Source organism: Homo sapiens, chromosome 12 (genome assembly GCF_000001405.40).
Source record: "Homo sapiens chromosome 12, GRCh38.p14 Primary Assembly".
In the NCBI taxonomy this organism is placed as follows: Eukaryota; Metazoa; Chordata; class Mammalia; order Primates; family Hominidae; genus Homo; species Homo sapiens.
Window position 1 is genome coordinate 70,156,023 of NC_000012.12, and position 17,459 is coordinate 70,173,481.

Below are 17,459 nucleotides of genomic sequence, written 5' to 3' on the forward strand. Positions count from 1 at the left end.
AAATAAATTCATTCATAAGTTCATTCATTCTCTATGAATTAACCGTTAATGTCAAAGGCACACTGATGTAAAACTAGCATATGGGCCCCTCTGTCAGATTAACAAGGTTTTCTTGAAGAATTAACCCACTCCTTAATAGAGGTTATAAAGGCTTATGGAAATTATATCTTATCATTGATGACTAAAATGTTATAGATTGTTTATAAATTTTTGAAAAACAAAACTAATTGTCCTCTTGCTATTTTTATTAAGGCTTATTGTTTGTAAAATTAACTCTCCTCTCTCAAAGGATAAACGTTTTTGGCTTTTGGTGGTAATCTTTGAGTTATCACTTTGGTTAAATAAATGACTTATTTTACAATGACCTGTGATCCTATTTTGTGATATCAGTGTTTTAAACCTTTGATACTTGACAAACTTTCCAAAATCAAATGATAAATTATGTATTTTTTCTGACATAATTAATCCTTTAAGATATTAGTTTCCCTAAAGTCCAAAAATGACATATTTGGCTTATTCGATATAAAAATCTTACTGGAAGCATTGTCAAATATGAAATGGTGTTTGGCTTTGTTTGGGTTTTATTTGTATAAATATTTTATTGGCATGTGTTCCAAAATTATGAGAAACACCTATAATTCTGATACAACTTAGTGTACATTATCAGTAATAATTATAATTGTTATGCTAAATTATTATTTACCACAGAGGTAACAAATTTCCTTGTCAATTTTGTCTTTGACTGTGGCTGCCCTAACACTTTTTGTCAGCTATGGACATTTGTTGTTTGGTTTTGGTCCTCTTTAGAAGGTAGTTTTATAATCAGCTATGAAACTCTAACAGGTGTTCTTGAATGCAAGGTTCTGATAACTTTGGAGATTGTGACATTAGAAGAAAAACTTTCAGGAGTCTCATGGAGAGCTTGAATGTTCATGAATATCAAGCAGAACATGCATGGCCTGAACTAAGAGAAGACTGAAGTAATCATTTTTGACTTTTTTGCTTACAACATTGCCGATCAACCAGCATAGCACATGTTTACCTATGTAGCCAACCTGCACATCCTGCACATGTATTAAAGTAAAATAAAATAAAATAACAAAAAACTTAAAGTAAAATAAAATAAAATTTAAAAACCCACAAAAAATGTTGCTAATCCTTTGTTTTGATTTTCAGAATTAAGAAAACTAATGTGAGCTATTTACAGCTTGTAGCAATTGAAGAAAGTACACTACTGTGAACAAAATTTGGAGCATATTTCTTTCTCTCTACCTGATTTCTCCAGGGTTTGGAAACTATTTGTGAGTATTCTTAATTTACAGGAATATAGTTATTCGCATCAGTGCAATAAGCATGTGTTACAACTGGATACCATTAGAGAAACTGGTTATTTTACCAAGACTTTGACTGGAATGGTGTGCTTTCCTTAAGGAACCAAACTTGACTTATAGATCCAATAAAAGCCCATTGGGAAAACTGGCCTCATACCTTGTCTCCTCAGTCCCTGTACAGGGTTTCTGATCTGTGGTAAGTAAAGAACGTCACTTTCTGAGAGGCCCAGGAGTCCCAAGTTATCCTGGGACCTCAAGAGGAAAAGAATTTACCCAACTCAATAGGTATTTGACGGTACAGAGCCATGACTGGGATCAGCTTTTAAAAAGACTTTCTGAGATTCCTTCTATAGAACAAAGTTCTATCAAAGCCAATTTAAAAGCCCATGTGAAAAATAATTATTCTTGCTGCACTTTATAAAAATAGTCGGGCCAAGTATAATAAAGTAAATCAGTCCTACCATGATTTGTCTTTAGTAAAAATGGGAAACGAGAGAGAGAAATTATGGATCAAAAACTATAGTACATCTGTTGTTAGATTCTAGTCTTGCCTAATGTTTTTCAATTTTTATTATTTTCTTCAGCTTAGACTGAATTCTAATTTTTCCTGGCTATAAGTCTCCAAAATAATCTTTTCAATTTTTTTCTTCTTTTTCTTTTTCCCCTATTTTTGCTGATTTAAAATCACTGAAAGCTAAGCTATGCTTTCTTAAAGACTTGCAAACTGAAGCTAGATAACTTAAACTTCAGAAGAAAATAACAGCAGCCTATTTACACACATAAGCCACTTTCATACCTGCCTACTGATGTATGGGCTTCAGAGTAATCGAGTTTCCAGGATTGTTCTTTTTTTGTTTGTTGTTGTTTTTCTCCCTTCCTCACCCTAGTTTCTCTTTGTAGGATGTAAGACTTCACAACCTGCTAAAAATGAACTTTCCTAACAACATGGGACCTACCCGTCTAGGAATAAACTATTTTAACCATGAGAGATCAGACAAAATCTGAGACCAGAGACTCATTTTCTTCTAAAACGCTTTCTCTGAAAGATTTTAAAAAGAAAAGGTGGAAGTGTGAAAGGAAAATAAATCTTGGGATCTCCCAAATCACTAAGTCAAAGGGAAAAGTCAGGCTGGGAACTGCTTAGGGCAAGCCTGCCTCCCATTCTATTCCTAAAAAAGACAGCTATTAAGATTAAAAAGCTACATACCTCCCTCACAAGGAATTTCCTTGTGGACAAAGGACAGATAAAATTCAAAGTCATCCCTCTGCTGAGATAAATGCATATCTGATTGCCTCCTTTGGAAAGGCCAGTCAGAAACTCAAAAGAATGCAACCATTTGTCTCTTACCTACCTATAACCTGGAAGCCCCCTCCCCACTTTGAGTTGTCTCACCTTTCCGGACAGAACCAATGTACATCTTACATATATTGATTGATGTCTCATGTCTCCCTAAAGTGTATAAAACCAGGCTGTGCCCCGACCACCTTGGGCACATGTCATCCGGGCCTTCTGAGGCTGTGTCATGGGTGTGCATCCTTAACTTTGGCAAATAAACTCCTGAATTGACTGAGACCTGTCTCAGATATTTGGGGTCCACAGCAGTAAATGCATACATTGAAGAAATAGGATGATTTCAAATGAACAACCTAATAAGGCACCTCAAAGAACTAGAAAAGCAAGAACAAACCAAACACAAAATTGGTAGAAGGAAAGAAATAATAAAGATCAGAGCAGAAATAAATGAAATTGAGACAAAAATACAAAAGATCAATAAAATAAAAAGTTGGGCTTTTTTGAAAAAATAAAGAAAATTGACAAACCTTTAACCAGACTAAGAAAAAAGGAGAGAAAACCCAAATAAATATTAGAGATGAAAAAGGGAACATTACAACTGGTACCACAGAAATAAAAAATGTCATTAGAGACTGCTATGAACAACTATACACCAACACATTGGAAAACCTAGAAGAACTAGATAAATTCACAGACACATGCAACCTAACAAGATAAAATTATGAAGAAATAGAAAACCTGAACAGATCAATAACAAGTAATGAGATTGAAGCAGTAATAAAAGACATCTCCCATCAAAGAAAAGCCTGATGGATTCACTGCTGAATTCCACCAATATTTAAAGAACTAATACCAATTCTGCTCAAACTATTCTGAAAAGTGGAAGATGACAGAATACTTTTAAATTCATCCAATGAGGCCAGCAATACCCTGATAACAAAACCAAACAAAGAAACAACAACAAAAGAAAACTACAGGCCAATATTGCTGATTAACATAGATGTAAAAATCTTCAACACAATACTTGCAAACCAAATTCAAAAACATCTTCAAAAGATTATTCATCATGATCAAGTGGAATTTATCCTAGGGATGCAATAAATGCAAATCAATAAATATGATACATCACATCAACAGAATGAAGGACAAAAGCCATAAAACAAATTTGGTATAGAAGGAATATACCTCAACACAATAAAGGCCATATATTACAAACCCACAGTGAATATCATGTTAAAAAAAAATCAGAAGACTTTCCTCTAAAATCTGGAATCAGACAAGGGTGCCCACATGCACCACTTCTATTCAATATCATACTAGAAGTGCTAACCAGAGCAATTAGGCAAGAGAAAGAAATAAAAGGTATCCAAATTGGAGAGGAAGAAGCCAACTTATCCTTGTTTGCAGACAATATGATTTTATATTTTAAAAAGCCTAAATACTCCACCAAAGAACACTTAGAGCTAATGAACAAATTCCATAATGTTGCAGGATACAAAATTAACACCCAAAAATCAGTAGCATTTATAAACACTAACAGTGATCAATCTGAAAAAGAAATCAGGAAAGTAATCTCATTTACAATAGCTACCAAAAAATTACTAGTAATAAATTTAACCAAAGAAATGAAAGACTTCTACAAGGAAAACCATAAAACACTGATGAAAGAAATTGAAAAGTCACCAAAAAATAGAAAGATATCCCATGCTCATAGATTGGAAGAATTAATATTATTAAAATGTTTACACTACCCAAAGAAATCTACAGATTCAATGCAATCCCTATCAAAATGCCAAAAACATTCTACACAGAAATAAAAAATAAAATCCTAAAATTTGTATGGAACCTCAAAAGACCCCAAATAGCTAAAGCAATCCTGACCAAAAAGAATATAGCTGGAGGAATCATACTACCTGATTTCAAATATACTACAATACTATAGTAACCAGTACAGCATGGTACTGGCATAAAAACAAACACATAGACCAATGAAACAGAATAGACAACCCAGAAATAAATTCAAGCACTTGACACCCAACTCATTTTCGACAAAAGAACCAAGAACATACATTTGGAAAAGGACAATTTCTTTAATAAGTTGTGCTAGAAAAACTGGATATTCATATGCAGAAGGGTGTAATTAGATTCTCATCTTTCACCATATACAAAAATCAACTCAAAATGGATTAAAGGCTTAAATGTAAGACTTGAAATGATAGAACTACTAAAAGAAAACATTGGGGAAACACTACAGTACATTGGTCTGAGGAAAGAGTTTTGGATAAGATCAAAAGCACAAGCAACAAAAACAAAAATAGACAAATGAGATTACATCAAGCTAAAAATCTTCTGGACAGCAAAGGAAACAATCAACAAAGTGAAGAGATAACCCAACAATGGAAGAAAATATTTGTAAACTATCCATCCAACAAGAGATTAATAACCAGAATATACAAGGAACTTGACCAACTTAAAAGAAAAAAAAAAGACATGATCTTGTTCTTTTTGATGGTCGTGTAGTATTTCATGGTGTATATGTACCACATTTTCTTTATCTAGCCTATCACTGATTCCATGTCTTTGCTATTGTGAATAGTACTGCAATGAACATATGCATGCATCTGTCTTTATGATATAATTATTTACATTCCACCGGGGACATAACCAGTAATGGGATTGCTGGGTTGAATGGTAGTTCTGTTTTTCGCTCTTTGAGGAATTGCTGCACTGCTTTCCACGATGGTTGAACTAATTTAGACTCCCACCAACAGTGTATAAACATTCCTTTTTCTCTGCAACCTTGTCAGCATCTGTTATTTACATGGATGGAGCTTGAGGCCATTATCCTTAGCAAACTAATGCAGGAACAGAAAACCAAATACTGCATGTTCTTACTTATAAGTGGGAGCTACATGATGAGAACACATGAACACAAAGGAGGGGAACAACAGACATTGGGGCCTACCAGATGGTGGACGGTGGGAGGAGTAGGAAGAATAACTAAAGAGTACTAGACTTAATACCTGGGCAATAAAATAATTGTTACAACAAACCTCCGTGACACAGGCTTACCTATATAACAAACTGGCACTTGTACCCCTGAACTTAAAAGTTATTATAGAAAAAAAGGAAAAAGAAAATCTAACTTAAAAATGGACAAAAGACCTAAGTAGACATTTCTCAAAAGGAGACATACAAATGGCCAATAGGTGTATGAAACAATGTTCAATATCACCAGTCATCAGGGAAATGCAAATCAAAAACCATAATGAGTTGTCATCTTACCCCAGTTAGAATGGCTACTATCAAAGACAAAAAATAACAAATGCTGGCAAGGATAAAGAAAGGAAAACCCTTATACACCATTGGTGGGAATGTAATGTACATAGTACAGCCACTATAAAGAAAAGTATGAAGGTTCTGAAAAAGGCTAAAAATAGAACTACCATATGATCCAGCAATCCCACTGTTGAGTACATATTCAAAAGAAGGAAATTAATGTATCAAAGAGAGATTTGCACTCCCGTGTTTACTGCAGCATTATTCACAATAGCTAAGATGAAGAATCGACCTAAGTGTCCATCAATGGGTGAATGGATAAAGAAAATGTGGTATATATACACAATGGAATATTATTCAGCCATAAAAATCAATGAAATCATGTTATTTGCAGCAATATGGGTGGAATTGGAAGTCATTATGTTAAATAAAATCAGTCGACCACAGAAAGACAAATATTGCATGTTCTCGTGCCTTTGTGGGAGCTAAAAGCCTTTGGGAGGCTGAGGCAGGAGAATTGCTTGAACCCAGGAGGCTGAAGTTGCAGTGAGCTGAGATCATGCCACTGCACTCCAGCCTGGGTGACAGAGTGATTCTCCATCGCAAAAAATAAAAATAAAAAATAAAAAATAAATTATAGTATTCAATAGTACAGTAGCAAAATTATAGTTAATAATTTATTTTACATTTCAAAATAGCTAGAATGAAAGAATTATAATGTTTCAACACAAAGGAAAAATAAGTGTTTTAGGTGATTGATATCCCAATACTCTGATTTGATCATTACACATTGCATACAGGTATCAAAATGTCATATGTACCCCAAAAATATGTATTTTGGGGGTAATAAACATTTTTATTATATACCAATATAAATAAAATAAATTTTAAAATAAAAGCATTATTTATTATATTAGAAGACACATTATTCACTATTCCTTTAAAAGTTTACTAAACTATTGGAAAAAGTAGATTTATATTTTTTCCAGAAATTTAATGTTATTTCTTGTGCCATAAAAATTGCTATGTGATACTGAATTCCAGAAAAAAGTAAAATCTCACTTCACTTGTAAACAAATATTTATTGTATTTTTGAAAAATAAAAAGTAGTTAACTAAAAATAATGCTATTATTACCATAAGTTCTCATTTTGGTAACTACAAAAAAATAGAAAAGTGACATATTTTTTAGCTTGTGCCACTTTCTCATTATGAGTTCCTTGAAATCAGAAATTATATATTTCTCATTTTTTAATCTCTAGTGCCAATCACATGTTGTTTTCTGGAGAGATGGAATGGATGGATGGGATGGGTGGATGAATAAGAAAGAAGGAATGGATGGATAGGATGATGGAATAAATGAACAGATAGATAAAACAGATGTGGGGTTGTATGGAACAAATGGGATGGATGGATGGAATAAGTGGATGAAATTGATAAATGCATGGATGGAATGAATGAATAACTGAAGAGCTCAGAAGTTCCAGGGTTAGGTGAGTTATGGTACATGGATATTGCAGTGTAAGTGTCCATTAATTCACACAGTTACACTCATCTCTAGATGCCAAATATGTAATGCATAGTGAGGCTTACAGTGATGGAGGGGACACAGGTAGATAAATAAAAATAACAATACAATGTAATCAGTATTAGGACGGGGTAAGCATCAGGTGTTACAGGAGCATAGAACACTAGGGAGAGCTTTTAAAGAGACATAGTAATTAATCTGAATCTTGGTGAAGCTGATTTTGAACAGTATGACCTAAAACATTGCATGAGGAAGGCACATATGTACTGTATTAGCTCATTGGGAATAGTTGACTAGGTGGGCAAAAGTGGAGAGAAAACTCCAGGAAGATAAAGCAGTATGTGCCAAGGTACAGAGATATAAAACTCCATAGGATGGCCAAGAAACTACGAGTAATTTGGTATGCCTGAATTTATAGCAAAAGGACCCACTGAGTTATTTATTTTGATGCTATAGTTTCATTCATCTCTTAGGGTTTAATATAATGTATTTCTAATTCCTGTCAAACAGCTTGATTTATTACTTATCTTTTATTCCTCACCTCTAATTTTACAAAAATAAACCAAACCTTAAAGAAGATGATTAATTTTCATAAACTCACACATCTAATAATTGAATTGGAACTCAAATCCAGGCCTGTATGATTTCAAACCTCTTGATGACAATGCTAATATTACTACTTAAATTCAGAAGCTCAGATAGTTTCGTAAAAAGATTTACATGAAAGGGATAGGGGTAACAAGAACTTGGTTTGGACTAGGGCAAGGACTTTAAAAAGTTGGATTATTAGGAATAATTTATATTTGAATTTGGAATAAAGTATATAACATTACATTATAAACAGATTATTAACATAAAATCAATACCAAAGAACTATATACAAGCTTTTCTACTTCTTTTTTATGTCAGCAGAATTAACAATGAAGAAGAGGCTCAGTTACAGTGGAAAGAAATATGTTGATATTTGGGAATAAATGTTTCTTATTTTTAAAATGTTTATCATTTTTAAGTAAACAGTGCTATGGTTAAAATTCTGTACTTCTATCAATGCAGGTTTTTGTTTTTATTGTTTCCAGTATTTCCTTGATATCCATTAGAATTTAGTAAGTTTTAAAAAAATTCTAGCCATAGTTAAGCCAGAATGTGAAAGGCAAAAAAAAAAAAACGTATTTCAGTGGACCAGTATACATTGGAGGTAGAGGAAATTAGATTGATTACTTACCCTTCCCAAAAGGGAAGTAAGCTATAGTTAAGAGTCAGAAAAATAAACTATAGTCTTATCTTTAATCTCCAAGAATATGGGATGGAAAAGGTAGCAGCAAGATTGTGTCTCCTTCTGCTAATAAAAGAGGTTTGAAAAGGAGAGAATGTAAAGGGATAAAAATCTGCCTACAATTAACCAGTTAATAAGATGGCTAGATACATTATCTATCTGCAGATATAAATAGCTTTCTTACACATTACTAATAACATGTTCCATAATTTTTAAAAAACTTTGGTCTAGAGGTCTTTCTCTAGGGAGTGGCTATAATTGTAGCCCTGTCCTGATGGGACTCCAGGGGAGGTAGTTGTAGATGGTTACATTGTGCATTTCTCGGGATAGTTCTTTATCCTGGTTGACAGTCTAATGCCTAAGTGTCTAAACTGTGACCAGGAGTCCCTCTTACAGGAAATTTGTTTATACTGTGGCCCTTATGTGACTGGAGTCCATTTTTCCTACCAAGATAGCCATTCTATAGGAGGGCCCTAATCTTTAGAAGAGCCTTCTGCCCTGTCTAGGACAGATGCTAGATTCAGGTGTGTTGGTCAGGTGAGACACAAAAGAGGAGGCACAACAAAACACATGAATAATAGAAACAGTTTTATTACATACAGATCCCTGAGAGAAGAGGGCAGCATGCTTCACAAAGCCTGTTGGAAAGGGGGAATCATCCAGGACATGTATACTCAAGCAGAAGGTAAAGAACAAGAGAAAGAGAGAGAGGAGCTATGGGACAAGCCTTTATTGGGGCCCAGGACATTACACAAGCAGGTTTCCCAAGGGGAATTCTAATGGGCTGATTTAAAGCAAGAAAGCATGAGTTCTGTGGGGACACTGTGACTGAGAGGTGGTCACCGTGGTATATCTGTGCAGTCCATGCAAAGTGTGGGGGTCAGCGGGGCAGGTCAAGTAGGTTATATCTACATGTTTCACAGGAAGGTGGTCACCAGGAGGCAGTTGTACAAGAAAGATATCTGGATTGACCACACGGAGAAACTAGGAGGAAGTGGGAAACTGAAAACTGGGTTAAGGGTAAGTAAGCCCTGCTTCTGCTATGAGAAAGTCCAATCTATATTCAAATAGATGCTTAGGCACCATAAAATTATAGGAATTCGCTATACATGTTTTTAAAATACTACAAAGACTGTATTCACAGTAGCAATAAGAACTATAAAATATTGACGAGTAAATGAAACAAGAAATGTACAAAATCTATTTTAAAAACTAGAACTTAAACACATAAAACATCCAACAAATGAAGACATACGATGTTCCTGGATAGGAAGACACTATATTGTAAAGCAATGCAATTCTGATTCAAATCTCCTCAGTATTTTTAAAAAATAAATCTTAATTAGCTTATTCCAAAAATTACAGAAAAGGTTTATAAACACTGAGTTTTAAAAAGAATAATAATAGAATAATAGGAAAGATAATTTATTCTACTAGAAATCAAAACATACTATGCAACTAGAATAAAACAGTAAGGTATTAGCCTAGGACTAAACAAATATATTAAGGAAAAGAATGGCGTTTAGGGGGACAATTCTGAAGTACATTTCTACAATCCTACAAGATTCCTTAGAGGTTCCCCAGCAAAATTGAGCCTCAATTGTCTACAGTAGCAATCCATTTGTTTTGTTACCACACGCTTTATTGGCCCTTTTCCTTTTCCCGTCTCACTTTTTTCACTCCTCTTGTGCTTCCTAGGATCACCTCCCAATCAGAATACCTATACTGAAGTCATTTTCTTAGACTCTTCTTTGGGAAGAACCCAAACTAAGATAAGAAATACTTACGTTTTTGTTCTACATGCTCCCAAATAATATTAATTTTTCATAATGACAACATATGCATGTAGGACTTTTGTCATCCAAAAAATTTAATTAAGAAGTATTAGGCTTAACAAATTGACTTTTAATTTTAGAGTATTGTTTTGGGATTTTATGTTTTGTTTCATTAAGGGAGGACCTCATAAATAGTAATCAATGTCTACATACTCTTCCATATATCTCAAAATTTAGATTTAGAGTCCTACAAACACTTCCAGCTCATTTTGCTCTTAGCCTTTCACATTTAGAGGCTAAAAATGTGAAATCACAGAAGATGATTCCCAAAATGAAAATGTTAAAGATTCATAAATCTATAAAAACATGCCATTTATAAATCTGCTATCCCTCAAGAAAAAGTACTTAATGAGATTTATCTGTCCATCATCTAAAAATGTTTGAAGGTTTGTGTTGTGTACTATAATACCATAACTAAAGGATATTTAGAAACATTATCTCTGAAGAACACGTGGATGTTAATCACCAGGTAATGGGGAAGTATGCAGAGCTGGATACGCAATCCAGTGAATAACAGGAGAATAGTCTCAACAATTGAGTTCAGAAAATGCCATTTATTTCTACTCTAAACTGAGACCTGTTTTTTAAACAGGAAGCAGGAAGTTGAGTGCCTAGGCTAAAAGGTAACACAAGCTTAGAATAGAAAGAGGGTGATCTAAGAGGGATATGACACCATGAAGAAAAACTGGAGTTAAAAATAAATGCTCAAGATATTGCATGGTCAACAAAGAAAACCATTGGAGAAACTAGTATCATTCATATTCAAGTGTCATTGCTTGGATAAACCACACAAACCCCAGTGGGCTAGCAAATGGATAACTTTACCATAGCTGATGATGATAGGGTAGTGGAAAAGGGACACTGATTAAGCGATGTACAACATAACCATAGGATGGTGGAGTTGTGAGTATGACAGAGGAAGACCTTTAAGTAAATACTCATATCAGAAACTTACTTCTATTCATCAAACTTCATAGGAGCAAAAAGGGAGGGTGCCTAAAACGAGATATAACAGGCATTCTTTTTAACTGAAGAAGGAAAATTCAACCTGGATCTGTTTAGCAGCCAAAAAAAAAAGAATAAGTGTAGCTAGTAGCAAAATAAATAGATAAATAAATAAATGTAGTCAAGTAGTGAAAAATTTAAAGATCACAGTAACCAATGTCTTCCTATCCTTCCAAATCTTAACAGGGAGGAGGCACTAATTAAAACCCGAGCTACATAGTATGCTAAAACTACATATGATTCCTTCATTAATGTGGGTTCTGCTACTCTCAATTATATCTTCATAACATCCCAAAGCAAAATTTCCCTTTCAACTACTAATGGCAGGTATTTGAAATACCAGTAATCAATAGATAAACAGTAGTCAAGATTTTGGTACTCAGAATGCCAGATACCCACACTTGGTGAGTAGCACAGAATGTAGAAGTTCTTAAGCTGGGAATTTAGAGTTTGTGTTAAAAGAAAGCAAGAGTTTGGAAATAGTGAGAAAGGACTATGAATCTATCTGTGCAGGTTCAATGCTATCATAATATGCCTATTAGTTCAGAATAATAAGTGAAGAATCCTTTCTCCATCAAAGAGTAGAACCAATCTTTCAATTCTGCTGATACACATTCTTGAAGTGAAATAATTTTTTAAATAAGTGAAAGCTTAGTGTAATGTATTCTGGCATCTTTCAAGAGACCTCTTGAAGAAGCATTCAGTCAGCAACTTCAAGTTCAGTGCAAAATGACATAAAGCCCCAGAGAAAGATTTTTGGAGCTTAGCTAGTTTCATCATGATCTATTGCTGCATAACAAACTTAGTGGCTTAAAATGACAAACATTTTATTTGTTCATAATTCTGTGGGTCAGAAACATGAGCTGGTTTCAATTGAATGGTTTGTCTGCTGACCTCACATTAGGTCACTCATGCAGATGCTGTCATCTGGAGGTCACTTGGGATGCATGGTCCAAGATAGCCTTACTCAAAAGTCTGCTGAGTTGGTGACAGCTTTGGCTGGCCTTCTGTCTCCATGTGGTCTCCTCATCCTCAAGGAGACTGGCTGGGGCATCTTCACATGGTGATGGCAACATTCCAAGAGGATAAGAGCAAAAGCTTCAAAGGTTTCCTGATGCCTAGGCTTAGAAGTCCCAAAATATTACTTCCATTGCATTCTATTGGTAAGGCAGGTCAGAACGCCAGCCCAGTTTTAAGGGTGCAGAGAAAGGATTTCACCACTTGATGAAAGAAGTAGCAAAATCACAGTTGCAAAGAAATGTATACAGATGGGAAGCCGGGAGCTGTGGCTCAGGCCTGTAATCCCAGCACTTTGGGATGCCAAGGCAGGCGGATCACGAGGTCAGGAAATTGAGACCATCTTGGCCAACACGGTGAAACCCTGTCTCTACTAAAAATACAAAAAATTAGCCAGGCGCGGTGACTCAAGCCTGTAATCCCAGCACTTTGGGAGGCCGAGGCAGGCGGATCACGAGGTCAGGAGGTCAAGACCACGGTGAAACCCCGTCTCTACTAACAATACAAAAAATTAGCTGGGTGCGGTGGCGGGCGCCTGTAGTCCCAGCTACTCAGGAGGCTGAGGCAGGAGAATGGCGTGAACCCGGGAGGCGGAGCTTGCAGTGAGCCGAGATTGCACCACTGCACTCCAGCCTGCGCCACAGAGTGAGACTCCGTCTCAAAAAAAAAAAAAAAAAAAAAAAAAAAAAAAAAAAAAAAAAAAAAATTAGCCGGGCTTAGTGGTGGGCGCCTGTAGTTCCAGCTACTCGGGAGGCTGAGGCAGGAGAATGGCATGAACCCGGAAGGCGGAGCTTGCAGTGAGCCGACATCGCACCACTGCACTCCAGCCTGGGAGACAGAGCGAGATTCTGTTTCAAACAAACAAACAAACAAAAAAAAAAAAAAAAAAGAAATGTATACAGATGGGAGGAATTATTGTAGCAGTCTTTATAAACGATCTACCACAGCTAGGGAGATGCTTTCTCCTTTAGGAGCAGGAACAGAAGCAGAAAAGACCACAAGAGGCCTCCATACAAGAGGCTAGCCAGTATATTGATAGTGGAATCTTAGAAACAAACTGGACCACTGAGTGTTTAAATATTAAAAGAGTTAGGGGAAATACTTCCCAGGACAAACTGAAACTCTTCATTCAATGAAATATTGTCAATTCTGAAACAGTACAGGGCTATAAAATAGACCATCCGAATTTAATAATCAGAAAATTTCCCAAATATTTACTTTATTTATCTGAAATTATTTTCTGCCAGATCTTCAGATGGCTGATTTCATATTGACAATCAGCTCAAATTTTGCCTCCTCAGGGAAACCTTCCCTACCCACCCTAATTAAAGTTAACCTCACCCATCTTACCATCACGTTTTCTTCACAGCAATATTACTATCTGAAATTACTTTAATATTTATCTACTTGTCTGTGATCTTTTTCCCTTACTAGAAGATAACCTCCATGATATTTGGGATTCTATTCACGTGTTTAGCATAGTAATATCAGCTAGTGATTAATGTTTGAAAAGGTAGCAAGGTGAAGACAAGATTTTGATAATTACTTCTCCACTAATAACCCAAGTTTAGCTCATGTCTTAACTTCTGCAATAAAGCACAAAGTAGATGATACTATCTCATCATCCCTGGGTTGAAATTACCAGGCTTTTCTTGTATAAACATGCCGTCTTGGAACTTCCTATTAAGTTACAGATTCCAGTCTTTGGAATGCATCTAATTCATCTCATTTTTTTTTCATTTCTAAAACTGAAAAAAATGCCTCATTTATTATGTAAGTTAAATCAGATCCAATTTGTAAAATAAGTAGTACAGTACCTGGTATAGTGAAGGTACTCAATAAATGGTAGTTACACTATTATTCTCCACTGTTCAATTGTGAATTATTAGGCTCACACACAACTCAAACCCAATCAATATTCCATTACTTTTTGCTTTAAGTTACCAACTCCAGTCTCCTCTTTCTGAAGGATTCTGTGACTCCTCAGAAGGTCCTAGAAAACATCTGATCATTGATGTTTACAATTTTCCCATGTCCAATGCAGAAATATAACACTACTGGCATGCATAGAATCAGAGTAACACATACAGAATCAGATAAGATGTTCTTTTCACATGTGGTCATACAGTATCAAATAAAATGTTCTTGCCTGCTGAGAGCAGTCTTTCTGATTTTCTTAGTCTTCAGACATTATAGTCATCATTTACCCCTTCTCCACAAAACCCAGGCCTCCCTCATCTAAGCTTATGTTGCTCATCAGATGGTAATCTCCCCACTTTCTCTATTCTTACAATTCCATGTTCCAGCAATAGGTAACTTCTCTTAGTAATGGTGCCTTTTATGCTATCCATGCCTCAGATATTTTGTCATCTTACTTTTATTAATGTTACTGTAATGATTTCTTTCTTTTTTTTTTTTTTTGAGATGGAGTTTTGCTCTTGTTGCCCAGGCTGGAGTGCAATGGCACAATCTCGGCTTACCACAACCTCCGCCTTCCGGGTTCAAGCGATTCTCCTGTCTCAGCCTCCCAAGTAGCTGGGATTACAGGCATATGCCACCACGCCCAGCTAATTTTGTATCTTTAGTACAGATGGGGTTTCTCCATGTTGGTCAGGCTGGTCGCGAACTCCCAACTTCAGGTGATCCAACAGCCTCGGCTTCCCAAAGTGCTGGGATTACAGGCGTGAGCCACCGCGCCCAGCCACTGTAATGATTTCTACTCACATTTCATAGACACAGCATGAAATTTTTTTCATCAAGTTAAATTTGCATTAATATAATGGCTTCTTGAATCTGGAATCTGGAACGACATCTTGAACCTGGAAAGTCTGCTGTGTTTTTCCTGGGAGAGTATTTTCCTTGGATATAGGAACATCGTTTTCTGAAATCACAGGCTCCTTTTTATCCTCCTATTAAAATACTTCCCACAGGAAGTATTCTTGTTGATATTTTAGATACCGTCTCACAGGTGAGGACAGCATGTGATATGTATGTACTTGTCATCTTCCTCATCATTGATTGGTCACTTCAGCATCCCTAGAGCACTATGTTGGACTCACTGGGTCATTTCGCTATGTTCATGTCTTTTAAGTTGCTTTTAATTGTTAAGCTATTCTCAAACACTTTCTTTTTCTTCTTTATTTCATCTCTGTGAAGAGGCAATTAATAAATAATTAGGTTTGGTTATATCATAACTGACATAACTAGTTGACATAAGCAGCTAGTGGCAAATTTAATGTTATAAACCATTTTCTTGATTCTCCATACAGACTCAACAAACCATCCTCAGGAAAAGATATAGAACCTTCTTGGCTTTTTCAGAGGAAAGCTTCATTAACTTAAGAAAAGTGAGGTATAGCAGTTACCAAAGCAAATTCAGATTTTGTTTTCTCTTAGTAGAGAGAACAGTAAATCTGACATAGGGATTTTTAGGAATATGTAATGACAGTGTACCATGATGGCCAATAAAAGATCCCTCCCAATGACATCACAGTTTAAATTAAACATTGAAGAAATTATGTGACTTTGGTGTCAATGAAAAACATGGTCTGGTTCAGAAACTTGAGGTGTTTTATAAACTAAAACATTTATATAAAAGAGTTTTAGAAGCTCAAGAGTATGAAAACTATATGACCTGCCTCATTCATTTTGGTAAAATACAGGGGTAAGGGGCAGTGTTTAAGTTTTCTTCCAGCTCAGATATAGTATTATTTTGTTTAATGGCATATTCTTTAAAAAAAAAAATTTTTTTTTTCATTATGAGCCCTGAAAAAGAAAAAGACTTGAAATTGGCTACAAATTTATGTGAGGGATGCAAAAAAACATTTCTAAAGAAGGCCCATTTGTTCTGTTGAGCATTTTACTGGGTTTTGATAGGCCACGATTTCCTCAAGCTGACTTTAGGTACAGGGGACATAGAGAACGAAATTATTCTGCTACTAAAGAGTAAGAGAAACTGAGATTTTGCTCCTTAGAGAAGAGGACAGAAACTGAGAAGAATAAGAAAAGTACAGGAGGCTGACTTCAAGTTGAGTTTTTATTTTACTGTGATATGAAATGAATCCCTGCATATTACCAGCCTTCAGCAAAAATGTCTACATATATATGCTGTGAATGTGAATCTTTTTTTTTTTTTAGACAGAGTTTCTCTCTTGTTGCCCAGGCTGGAGTGCAATGGCACGATCTCGGCTCACTGAAACCTCCGCCTCCCGGGTTCAAGCAATTCTCCTGACTCAGCCTCCTGAGTAGCTGGGATTACAGGCATGCGCCACCACGTCCAGCTAATTTTGTATTTTTTTAGTAGAAACTGGGTTTCTCCATGTTGGTCAGGCTGGTCTTGAACTCCCAACCTCAGGTGATCCTCCCGCCTCGGCCTCCCAAAGTGCTGGGATTACAGGTGTGAGTCACTGTGCCCTGCCAAATGTTTTTAATGGCCTTATTAAGGAAAAAGCCCAAAATCCAGTACTGAGTTAACATGCTATGAAACATAGGCTACATGAACAGGGTGGTGTATGATCTATAAACTAGACTGAGTAAATTGAAAAAAAAGAGCCAGAGTAAGAAATGACTATGAGATCACAAGCGCCCAGGAAATTCATATAAATCTTAACAAAAATTTTGTAAGTCTACAATCCACAGGATAATGCTGCATTAAGTCAGTCTCACCCATATCTAAGGTTGCCTCAAAGAACTAAGGTAATATGTGAATTATGTGAATTATACAAGTTATGTTTGAGTGGTTTCACTAAAGAAAAAAATATTACATATGCTTATGCAACAGCTCTAGCTGTGTCCTTGATCCCAGACTCTCTAACCTCTTCTTGACCTTACTACCTTTCTCTTTCACCAAGTGAAATTTTCCTTCTCTACTAGCAGCATGCTCTCAGATGGTAATTAGT

General features: G+C 35.6%; 2 annotated features.

Annotated features, from left to right (window-relative positions):
• Positions 933-1,133: a silencer, noted in NCBI's record as "peak1797 fragment used in MPRA reporter construct". NCBI's record gives its function as "represses an SCP1 promoter by STARR-seq MPRAs in K562 erythroleukemia cells {active_cell/tissue: K562}" and the evidence as "EXISTENCE:reporter gene assay evidence [ECO:0000049][PMID:32103011]".
• Positions 12,373-12,573: a silencer, noted in NCBI's record as "peak1798 fragment used in MPRA reporter construct". NCBI's record gives its function as "represses an SCP1 promoter by STARR-seq MPRAs in K562 erythroleukemia cells {active_cell/tissue: K562}" and the evidence as "EXISTENCE:reporter gene assay evidence [ECO:0000049][PMID:32103011]".